General features: G+C 41.1%; 1 protein-coding gene across 5 annotated transcripts in view, besides 2 other annotated features; it reads left to right on the forward strand.

Moving 5' to 3' along the window:
- The window catches only part of TXLNG (taxilin gamma), a 58,054-nt gene that overhangs the window by 35,996 nt on the left and 9,936 nt on the right, over positions 1-12,122 (forward strand). For 4 of the 5 annotated variants that reach the window (NM_018360.3, NM_001168683.2, XM_047442249.1 and 1 more), the window contains 4 exons: positions 5,633-5,803; positions 7,115-7,309; positions 10,162-10,281; positions 11,822-11,896. In NM_018360.3, coding sequence (NP_060830.2) covers positions 5,633-5,803; positions 7,115-7,309; positions 10,162-10,281; positions 11,822-11,896 — 561 coding nt within the window. Of the gene's footprint in view, positions 1-5,632; positions 5,804-5,855; positions 6,559-7,114; positions 7,310-10,161; positions 10,282-11,821; positions 11,897-12,122 lie in introns of those variants that run through there. The other variant, XM_017029631.2, reaches the window with a different exon arrangement.
- Positions 4,405-4,920: an enhancer, noted in NCBI's record as "H3K27ac hESC enhancer chrX:16844989-16845504 (GRCh37/hg19 assembly coordinates)". NCBI's record gives its function as "activates a minimal SCP1, AML or CMV promoter by ChIP-STARR-seq in naive H9 embryonic stem cells {active_cell/tissue: H9 hESC(naive)}" and the evidence as "EXISTENCE:reporter gene assay evidence [ECO:0000049][PMID:30033119]".
- Positions 6,051-6,550: an enhancer, noted in NCBI's record as "H3K27ac hESC enhancer chrX:16846635-16847134 (GRCh37/hg19 assembly coordinates)". NCBI's record gives its function as "activates a minimal SCP1, AML or CMV promoter by ChIP-STARR-seq in naive H9 embryonic stem cells {active_cell/tissue: H9 hESC(naive)}" and the evidence as "EXISTENCE:reporter gene assay evidence [ECO:0000049][PMID:30033119]".

The raw sequence follows: 12,122 nt of genomic DNA on the forward strand, positions 1-12,122 counted from the left end.
CATCAGTGAAAATGTCCCAGAGCAGTCACAAATGCAAAGATGGCCGAAAACACAGCGTGGTTGGATTGATGGCTTCAGGAAAGGAATGCTTCCATTGGCTGTGGAAGCCAGTCCCCCTTGGTGCCTTTCACATGGGGAGAATCATGCAAGAAATGGCGGAAAAAGAAGAAAGACAAGAACAGAAAAGGGAAAAGAAAAAATGGAGAAAAGAGTAAAAACCAGAAAAAGCAGTGTCGAAGGTTAGCTACCCAACCCAGTGATGTGACAATGACAGACAGCCATGAATTGGTTAGAAGAGAGAACAAACAGTGATCTGGGGTGGTTGTTCTCAGACTCACACCGATCATTGAACTTGTGGTTAAAATGCACATTCTGATTCACTAGGCCTTGGTTGGGGCCTGAGGATCTGCATTTTAACAAATGCCCGGGCAACAGTGATGATGCTGCCAGACCTTGGATCACACTTGAAGTAGCAGGGGTCTAGGGTGTTTTTGTTTGTGACTTTTGGTTTTATTGTTTTGATTGTGGATAAGGTTATTGCTAAGCACCAGCAGTAATGACTGTGTTCATTTCAGGATGTGACACATTGAAGACTTGCCTAGTGAGTAATCTCTCTTTTATACAGATTTGTGCCAAAAATTTGAAAGACAAAATGTGTATTGTTTCCAGAAAATGTTCTAAAGCTTGATTTCTTGAAGCAACACATATTTCACTTAAAAGGTAGATATAGGCCGGGCGTATAATCCCAGCACTTTGGGAGGCTGAGGCAGGCGGATCACCTGAGGTCGGGAGTTCGAGACCAGCCTTACCAACATGGAGAAACCCCGTCTCTACTAAAAATACAAAATTTGCTGGGCGTGGTGGCGCATACCTGTAATCCCAGCTACTCAGGAGGCTGAGGCAGGAGAATCACTTGAACCTGGGAAGCAGAGGTTGTGGTGAGCCGAGATCGTGCCATTACACTCCAGACTAGGCAACAAGAGTGAAACTCTGTCTCAAAAAAAAAAAAAAAAAAAAAAAAAAGTGGAGTATATATATGTGAGGTCACCAAGGGAGTCACAGCCTTTTCCCAAGGATTATTCTGAAAAGTTCCCTTCCCTTTTGCCATCACTGTCTTCTGCCCGTTTATGACATATATCGTCTGATGTCATTGTGCTTGTTGCACTGACATGCATAACTGTTTTGTGGAGCAGTTGGAATGGATTTCTGTGCACTGTAACTGGGATTGTCCATTGGAGAGACCCTGTGGCCAACATGTTCACCAGATCACATGGATTCATGAAATTGTAGCATTTTGCTTTTAGCTGTGGATACCATTAACATGATCCTTAAGTACTTTATAATGCTATTCTTTCCCATCCTGTAGTCAGTTTGTACAGATTATTATAGCATAATAATCTTAATATATGCTTGGGGTAGGTTCCATTCTCCTTACTCTTTTCTTCTGAAGTATCTTGGCTATTCTTGGCCCTTTACTCTCTATAGATTTTAGATTCAATTTAGTAGTTCCGTGTGTTGGGGGGCACTATTTGGGATTTCAAAGAGCATTTCACAGAATCTGTAGATACATTTGGGGGAGAATTGCCATCCTCATGATATTAATGTAACTTAAAAAATGGTTATCCTGGCCAGATATGGTAGCTCAGCCCTGTAGCATCTGCACTTCAGGAGGCTGAAGCAGGATTGCTTACAATCAGGAGTTCAAGACCAGCCTGGGCAACGTCGCAAGACCCTGTACACACACACACACGCACACACGCCTGTAGTCTCAGCTACTTGGGAGGCTGAAGTGGTAGGATTGCTTGAGCCCAGGAATTGGAGGCTGCAGTGAGTTCGTGCCACATGGCAACCCAGCCTGGGCGACAGTGCAAGATGCTATCTCCAAAAAAAAAAAAAAGTTATCCTTTTGAGGAAAAAGTAAAATTAGATCCTTACACACCAGAGGCAACAATCAATTCCAAATAGATTAAAGGCTTAAATGTCAAAAATTAAGCTTTGAAATTTGTAGATATTATTTTGATTTATCAATAGATAAATATTTTTCAAACCTTGAGTTTAGGAAATATTTCTTATAGCACAAAAAGCACTGTCAGAGGAAAGATTGTACAAATTTGCTTTATTGAAATTAAGAACTTTGTTTTCGTCAAAAGATGCCCTGAAAAAAAGTGAGAAGATGGCCAAGCGCGGTGGCTCACACCTGTAATCCCAGCACTTTGGGAGCCTGAGGCAGGCGGATCACGAGGTCAGGAATTCAAGACCAGCCTGTCCAATATGGTGAAAGCCCGTCTCTACTAAAAAAATAAAAAAAAAAAAATTAGCCGGGCATGGTGTTTGCGCGCCTGTAGTTCCAGCTACTCAGGAGGTTGAGGCAGGAGAATCGCTTGAACTGGGGAGGCGGAAGTTGCAGTGAGCCAAGATCGCACCACTGCATTCCAGCCTGGGCAGCAGAGTGAGACTTCATCTCAGAAAAAAAAAAAAAGTGAGACGACATTACAAACTGGGGAGAACATATTTCCAACAAATATAACCAGCAGGCGATTTAGTATCAAGAATATCTAAAGAACACTAATGTGAAAAGGACAAATAGCCCTATGGAAAGCTGGATGAGAGACATGAAAGGGACATTTCATAGAAGTGGAAAAACAAAGATACGAAGATACCTTAACATAAAGGTCCATAAACATTCAAAGAGATGTTCCACCTGATAAGTGATTAGGGAAATGCAAATTAGGACCACAGTGAGATGCCATTTTACGTCTATTGTAGTGGCATAAATGAAGAAATCTGATCATTTTGGAGAGGATGTGGATCTACGTGGTCTCTTATATATTGCTGTTGGGAATATCAATTCACCATTGTCATGTGAAATCAAACATTTAGAAATCATTGCCCAGCAACCTCATTTCTGATGTTTGCACAGAGGAGAAATTCCTGACACGTGTATACCAGGAAACACATGAGAATGTTCATACCACTGTGAGTAATAACAAAACCTAGAGACAGCCCAGATGCCTGTTGATGCAAGAAGATGGATTAATAAAGAGTTTTGTGTGTATGTGTGGTGTGTTTTTATTTTTTATCTACTTGTTTGTTTATTTTTCAGACAGGGTCTCACTCTACCACCCAGGCTGGAGTGCAGTGGCGCAATCATGGCTCACTGTTTATTTTTTAGAGACAGGTTCTCACTTTGTGTGGTATGTTTGTGTGTGTGCTGTGTTTTTAAAAAGTGGAATATTATACAGCCTGTGGGCCAAATGCATCCGAAGTCTGTTTTTACACTGCCCACAAGAATGGTTTTAATTTTTAAGATGTTTAAAAATAAAGAACACGTGACAGAGACCATATGTGGCCTGCAGTGCCTAAAATATTTACTTGCTGGCCCTTTACAGAAAAAATCTGCTAAGTCCTGATCTGCAGCTACACGCCAACAATGTGGATGAGTCCTAGCAATGTAATCGAGTTGCGCTGTCCAAGACAGTAGCCATCAGCCACATGTGGCTTATTAAATTAGTGTAAATTAAATGAAAATTTCAATTCCTCATTTGCACTAGCTACAATAAAGTCAAAACAGCTAAAACCAAAAGGATTTTTTTTTTAGAGAAGTGCACACAGATGAAATGAAATTATATAGAAAGGAAAGCGAAGGAATAATGAACGCCGGATTCAGGATTGCGCTAACCCTGGGTCAGGAAAGGCAGGAGCTCTGCACCCTGGTGAAATTACAGCTAGTATGTGCCGGACCTGCAGCCTCTTAAACTGGGCAGCCGTGTACAGTTCGCAGTAATTTTGCTTTACAAAATTATGCAAAAACAATGATTTTTTTTCCTGCAAGAATTTCAGTAAAGGTGTTTTTAATATCTGTAAATGTGGCTGTAAGGATGCGTGATATGTTTTGGTAGGCCACAAGATGTCACTCTTGCTCTTCAAATTGTGACTCAGCATCATTTTCTTTTTCAGTAAAAGCTTTATTGAAAGGTCAGTAAGGCTGCCATCTTATCTGTTCATGTTGATTTAACCTTGAAACAGACTGATTTGTTCCATACCCAAAACTGCAGCAGTTCTTCTTACAAAGAACCCTGAGTGCTGTTTACTGAGTTTTAGATTCTGATGACTGTTTCAGTATAGTAGCCTGTGGGTGTAAAACTTGATGGTATCGACTCCTAAAGCATCATTTAAAAAAACAAAAACCTGCTGGGCACGGTGGCTCATGCCTGTATTCTCAGCACTTTGGGAGGCCGAGGTGGGCGGATCACCTGAGGTCGGGAGTTCGAGACCAGCCTGACCAACATGGAGAAACCCCATTTCTACTAAAAATACAAAATTAGCTGGGTGTGGTGGCGCATGCCTATAATCCCAGCTACTTGGGAGGCTGAGGCAGGAGAATCGCTTTAACTCTTGTTGCCTAGGCTGGAGTGCAATGGCGCGATCCATTGCACTCCAGCCTGGGCAACTAGAGTGAAACTCCATCTCAAAAAAGCAAAACCCGGCCGGGCATGGTGGCTTATGCTTGTAATCCCAGCACTTTGGGAGGCCAAGGCAGGTGGATCAATTGAGGTCATGAGTTTGAGACCAGTCTGGCCAACATAGGGAAACCCTGTCTCTACTAAAAATACAAAAATTAGCTGGGCGTGGTGGCAGGTGCCTGTAGTCCTAGCTACTCGGGAGGCTGAGGCAGGAGAATCGCTTGAACCCGGGAGGTGGAGGCTGCAGTGAGCCGAGATTGTGCAACAGAATAATAGTCCATCTAAAAAAATGATAATGAAAATAAAAAAATCAAAACCCCAAAGCACAATAAATTGATTGTTAAAATATTTGGATTTCAGCGGGTTTTTTGCCAGGTAGGAAATGATCTAGACAGACATTCACCCAGCAAACAGCAATTCGGGACATGCCTGGCTTTAGCACTGAGTCACTCCTGGCCTTCAACATTGGAGTAGGTTTCAGCTAGAACTGGAGCTGGTTTATTTTCCAAAGGGTTAAGGCTGGAATACTTGGGCAGTGTTCCCAGTGGGCCCAGGAAAATTCAGGGGCAGGAGGTATCCAGTTGAAGGGCATCATCCTTCAAAAAGCACAAGATCATAGCTGGAAGTTGAGGAGCCCATGTTGCTTGTGAGTTGTTGGGTTGAAAGCAGGGAGAAGATCTGTGATCAGTGTCTGAAGTCAGAAAGCTGGCAAAATTCAGGACCCCAGGGGATAGCAGGCCAATACGGAAGTCAAGAAAGCCAGAGATTCAGGCTGCTGGGTTCAAATCCCACCTCACCCCTTACTGATTATCTGTACTAATTAAAGAATGTTAGGCAACTTATTAATGTCTCCAGGCTTATACATTTCTTCTATAAAACCTGGATAATAAAGGGTTGTGAAAATTAAATCTGTCTAAAGGATTTTTTTTTAAAAAAGAAAAAGATGGATTATTTTCTGCTGCCCTAAATTTGCTTACTTTTTTGTCACAACTGGAAGAGGAGAGAAGAGAAGGGTGGCAGTGTAGCATGGCATGAAACAATTTAAATAATATATTAAACCATAGTATTTGACTTTTTGAAAATGTGTTCCATAGCTCTCATTATAATTCTAGCCATAACTGTAAGATTTTTACTGTACTTCCTAAATACAAAGTGCTTATGAATTTTAGCTGGAGGAGAGCAGGAGTGTTCAGAAGCAAATGAAGATCCTGCAGAAGAAGCAAGCCCAGATTGTGAAAGAGAAAGTTCACTTGCAGAGTGAACATAGCAAGGCTATCTTGGCAAGAAGCAAGCTAGAATCTCTTTGCAGAGAACTTCAGCGTCACAATAAGACGTTAAAGGTTAGTTGCTTCATTTGTCTGTTTTTTTCAGGAGGGACTTATCTGATTTCATAATCAACCCTGTGCCTATCTGAAATAAATCCTTGTCTCTACTTGGAGACAGATACTGCCTTGCTTTTTATTTTGCTTGGCCTGATGCCTTGTGTGAGGTCATTGTAAATGTAAGACCAATTCTTTCTACGTAAGTTTTGGTTTCCTGTTCAAGGAAGAGCACCTTAGTTGCCTCATACTTGGCTCCCGGGAATCTACGCTCAAGGCCCTCCTGCTTAGAGCCATGGCTTAGGAAGCTCAGAATTGCCAGTTTTCTGCTGAGCACTGATACAGCTGATCACCAAGTAGGAAAAGCTGCAGTGAAATGAGAAACTAGTAACAGACAGTCTGGGAAGGGAGAACTGCTGAGCTCCTGGGTGGAGCATTGCCCAGTTCCACTGGCCCACCCCCAGCCATTCAGTTGCTAAGTACTTTTAGGAAACCACTTATACCTTGGCTGATTGTAAAGGAAGAGGGAATAGGTATCCAAAGATTCATTGATATCAACAGGGGAAGAAGGAAAGGAGCAGAGCCGTGGGAAGGAATCTGCCTCTTAGAATGGGACAGACTCCCTTTATGCCCTTTATGCCCCAATAAACTCCCTTTATGCCCCAACAAACTCCCAAGGCCCTAGACTATAAGTGCACTCTTGAAATGGATCTTCACCTGGTATGGGAGCCATTATTACCTTCTTTGCTTTTGAGCCCTTGGATTTAGATGTCAAAGTAAGTGGTATTTTTTTTTTCCCATAGGAAATCAATATTTTGAGTAGGCTGGTAACAGTTCAGACATGTAAAGGTCTTTTGACACTCATATCCTAGCAAGAATTGAAAGTAAGCTTTGAATTTTTTGTTTTTTCTTTTTAATCATCAGAAAGTAGTTACAGAAAGGAAGCTTTTTGAGATGAGGATTCCATTTGTCCTTTGCCCTTTAGGGAGTAAGTGTGACCCAGAAAGTAAGCTGCAAGGGGGCAGGATCTCTTCCGACCCATCTAAGATGATGGCCTGTGTAACCGGCGAGTATTGCAGTAGAGTGAATTGTAGACAGCCATAACATTTATTTTGTAGCAGGACAGTTTGCATCTCTCTGGTTATCTGTCTACTTAGGAAAAACTGCTTGCTTTTCAGTGATAGCCTTCTGGTCATAAATAAGGGGGAGGAATTGTAGTTCAGAAGCAACACGTCAGGGCAGCAACAAATGAACCCACATTGCAGCAGCTTCTCTTGTGAGCATCTTCTCTATAGGTCTGTATTATTAACAAAAATTATTTTGGGTAATAAGGAGGAAAATATGCAGCAGGCACGAGAGGAAGAAGAACGACGTAAAGAAGCAACTGCACATTTCCAGATTACCTTAAATGAAATTCAAGCCCAGCTGGAGCAGCATGACATCCACAACGCCAAACTCCGACAGGAAAACATTGAGCTGGGGGAGAAGCTAAAGAAGCTCATCGAACAGTACGCACTGAGGGAAGAGGTAATGGCATTTGGTTTATTTAAACGGCTTCTCAAGATTAGCAAAAGTGTCACCATTCATACCTAAAGTAAAACTGCTGTCACGGGTGTTTCAGAACTTTGCATATGCATAGTGGCAGTCGGTTATTTATTAGGAAACGATCAGGCACCACAAATGAGATCATCACTTGATGTCCCAGGAGTCACTGGGTTTGGGACTTATTTGAGGTTATTTCTAGGAGACCCGTTTAAGTACTGCTTGTCTTCCATGAAATACTGGAAGATTGCAATTTTCGCATGTAGATTGTTTTCCCTTATCCAGACTAATAGTGAATAAATATTTGGGCCCCAAATACCCTGTATCTCAGACATCTATGATAATCTCTACAGTATCCACTACCATTGCATTATACTTGTACAGTTAATGTTTCAGATTTTTTTTTTTTAAATGAGGGCTTTATATTATTTGGGAGGAAAAACCTACTTCTAACCCCTTCTAACCCCTCACACATAAGCCCATTGAGGGTAAAAAGTTTACTGGGAAGATCCATGGCTAATGAACTTGGCCATTGGCCTTCAATGAAGACTTTTGGAATTATTTTATAAGCTAATCTGGAAGTTCAGAGGTAGTGTCCTCTGAACAAAGCGAGGAACTTGAAAAACCAGGTTAGTACCTATTTGCTAGAAGGTACTAACCTGGTTTTTCAAGTTCCTCACTTTTAGAGGGCCGATGGACAGGGTTAGAGGCTTTAGGTTTTTTTAAATGGTGCATCTCTGCCTTTTAACATTTAGTAAAATGTTGGGCTTGTTATGTTATGTTCCTTACAGAAATGGATTCAAAAAGCTGATTCAAATTAAAAAAAAAAAAAGATCAGGCATCTGTGTGTTACTTTATCTTGTTTTCAACTCAAACTTTATAGTTTTACATACAGCCCTTCAAAAACTGCTATTTTTTTTTTAAAGATTTTATTTTTCTTACTGCCTTTTGTTTTTTTTAAAAAAAAATTATGGAAAATTTCAAGCTTAACAAAAAGTAGAGAGATAATATAGCACCTGGCTTCAGCAGATGAAACCGTAATTCCGTGTGTGTGTGTGTGTGTGTGTGTGTGTGTGTGTGTGTGTGTGTGTGTGTGTGTGTATAGAGACAGTTTCTTGCTAAATTGCCCAGGCTGGTCTTGAACTCCTGGGCTCAGGTGATCCCCCTGTCTTGGCTCCCCAAAGTGCTGGGATTGTAGATGTGAGCCACTGTACATGGCTGATAATTTCATCTCTGTTCCCCTAGATTATTTTGAAGCAAATCCAAGATGTCAAATATTCCATTGATATTTGAATGTATAGCTCAAAAAAGTAAGGATTTAAGTATAACCATAATACCAGTTTCATACCTAAAAAATTAACAAATAGGCCAGGTGCAATGGCTCACGCCTGTAATCCCAGCACTTTGGGAGGCCAAGGCAGGAGGATTGCTTGAGCCCAGGAGTTCGAGACCAGCCTGGTAATATGGCGAAAGCCTGTCTCTACAAAAAATACAAAGACTAGCCGGGTGAGGTGGTACTCACCTGTAGTCCCAGCTGCTCGGAAGAGTGAGGCAGGAGGATCACCACCACTGTACTCATGGCTGGGTGATGGGAGTGAGACTGTCTCAAATAAATAACAATTACTGAATATTAAGTATCTAGTCACTATTCAAATTTTTTGGATCAGCTTCTTTTTAAAAGAGAAATTGTTTGAAACAAGATCCAAAGAAAGTCCATTTCACTGGTTTATATAACGCCAGTCTCTAAAATATAGGTTCCCCCCCTTTATTCTTACACTGTATTTATTGAAGAAACGTCTTTTTTGTCATAGAGGTTAAATTTTCTTTTTATTAGATTATAAAGCCTTTAATTGTCTTAAAATGATTCTTTTAGTTTTGTTGTTTGTTTTGACAGTCTATGTACCTCATAACTGATGTAGCAGATTTGAAAATCAGATTTGTTTAAATCATATTGTATGTGTCTTATGTTATGTTCTTTGGTCAGAATATAATGATCAAATTACTTGCAGGCGCTCTCTTGAGAGCAGTCTGTGGTGCTCTCAATACATAGTTAGACCACCTTACTTCACCAACCAGCATTTTCCCCTCTCATGTAGGGTATTGTAACTGGAAGAGTTCCGTTTCTCCAGCTGGGAAGGGATTGTTCTGTTGACTTTATTATACATCAGTAACCACTTAACAGTTTTGTTTGGAAATACTAATGAACTTTTACCAAATGTCTAAAGTGTGCCAGGCACCAAGCACCTTACCTAGTGCCACCATCGCATTTACTGTTACAGCTCTGCAAGGTAGGTGGAGGTATCCCCCTGTACAGAGGAGGGCACTGCGCTCCAGCGTGGAGAGGAATTAGCCCAGGGCCACACACTGGCCAGGATTTGACCTGGGCCATTCCTACCATCATACCATGCTGCCTCCAGCTAAGGAATTTGGGAAAATATGGGGAGGGAAAAAAGGAACTGTGTGCATGATGTATGGTTTAGTACTTTGCTCTTCTTATCCTTCTTTGTCTTGGTGCACTCTGAGCCTTATTTTCAGTGTGGGGCAGAAATAGGAAATACCAAGCTGGTGAGGGGGACAGCCCATGTCTGACAGGGTGGGGGAACAGGCAACAGTCAAAGGGCCACGCTTCTGCCCATGTGGGATGGTTTGCAAGGTGGTGTCAAATTGCCGCTTCTCTCAGCGGAGTATACAGGGACAGAGAGAGAGCTGGTGTTCTTAGCTGCAGTGGTAGTAGCAGAACAGCAGGGTGAGCAGGGTGCTGTAACTGCTGTGATGTTTCCTCCCCACTGTGTTCCTTTCTTTGGTGAGTGATGGAAGAAACTCTCCTTTTCCCATAGCACATTGATAAGGTGTTCAAACATAAGGAACTGCAACAGCAGCTCGTGGATGCCAAACTGCAGCAAACGACACAACTGATAAAAGAAGCTGATGAAAAACATCAGAGAGAGAGAGAGTTTGTAAGTTCTACTTCTTAAAAACAAAGACATTATTGCCAACATTGTAACTGAGGCCATTTGAAACATCAAATTGTAACCAAGGCCGTTTGAAACATTTATCTATTCTACCTTTAATGTAGCACCTGGGGGCATGCCAGCTGGTGTTTTGCTGTAGATTGAGAAGAGAGTATGTGGTGTGTGTGTGTTAGAAAGCATTTGGCTGTTTATTTCTATTTAACCTTTTATACAGAAAATATACTGGAAAGATTATACCAAATCAGTGGGAAGACCTGCACTTGTTGTTTTTCTGTGCTTAGAATATTTAGTTCCCATCTTAGATAATGGTCATCAGGTTCAAGAGTTGTGTGCTCACATTTAGCATGTTAAATTTGGTGATTCAGTTTAACAACAAGCTTACCAAGCCACAGCTCTCCTATATATGATTACATTTTGTTTTCAAACAAGTAACTTGAAACTGGGGAAGTCATTTATTTACTTACTCTGGTATAATTTTCTGATAAAATTTAAACAGAATTCTCTACCCTAATCACTCAGCATTGTTGCCAGTGTATGCTCAGATTCTATTGCCTGTCAGTAATTGTGAATACAGTGGAATCTCATTGGGTATGTATATTACCATGTGCAAATTCAGCTAAGTGCTTATCCACAAGGGAGAAATGATTGCAATAATGCAGACTGTTGCATCCACAGCCCTGACATGAGCACAGTGTGAAGATTCAGTTCCTGAGTGGCCCTCGTCATGCGGGCATGTCACACTGAGTGCATCTAGGGTTTAGAGAGACATGTTTTTCACAGTGTCATCCTTCCATATGAACTGACAATAGTATCCAGTGTTCAGCTGAGAAATGGTTATCATTTCCAAAGTTGGAATATAAATTTTATACACACACACACACACACACTCATATTCATTACATGTGTGTACTTTCTGGTTGCTTCAGTAGGACTTTTCTAGGCTTCTTTGGACTATGTGTGATATTTTACTTCAGGGACTGAATTTCACAACTGCCTACTATGCAACTTTGTGATTTTCTTGAAAGCACAAGTACTATATATAAATGAAAATGTCCACCCCCTCCCCGCTTTCTAAAAAAGTGCTCAGAAACCAGGTCTCAAGATTGATTGCGTTGCTTTCCCCATACGCTTTCACTCTGCCTCGTCTTGCCTCAGGGAATAGCGGGGCTTTTCTAAGTCACCCAGATAATATCAAGATTATCAGCCGTGTTCTCTGCTAATACTGTACATGTAATTATTTTCACCTAAAACACAACAATTTAACTCTGAGTTTTAGAAACCATATTAGGCCCCCAGGGTACTTTTTCTGCTTCAGCAATAAAAAGATTGTTCCTGCATTCCTAAGTGTTAACCAGTGGGACAGATAGAAGATACAGGTAAATGGCAATTTGTGGAACAGACTGTTTCATCTGTAGACCTGTGGTTCTTGCTAAAATAGAAGGATGAAGCCTAACTCTGATCATTTGATATTTAGTCCTGCTTGTAATTACCATTAGCATTTTGCCAGAATGTTTCTGTTTTCTAGTTATTAAAAGAAGCGACAGAATCGAGGCACAAATACGAACAAATGAAACAGCAAGAAGTACAACTAAAACAGCAGGTAACTTCACAGCAGGGGATAGTACAATTTGTAAGAAAAATCTGTGGTTCCTTTGATTCTGCATATCTTCAATCTCCTCTAAGATGGTTTTGCTTTTTGCTTTTTCCCAGCCAGAGCTGACCAGGACTGAGGCAGAAATCTCATGGCCCTCTTGGTATTTTCCACTTTATTTAGGTTAACTACCTCATCCCAGTTTGCCCAGCACTTTCCTGGTTTTGGTACTGAA

Source organism: Homo sapiens, chromosome X, assembly GCF_000001405.40.
Source record: "Homo sapiens chromosome X, GRCh38.p14 Primary Assembly".
Taxonomy (NCBI): domain Eukaryota; kingdom Metazoa; phylum Chordata; class Mammalia; order Primates; family Hominidae; genus Homo; species Homo sapiens.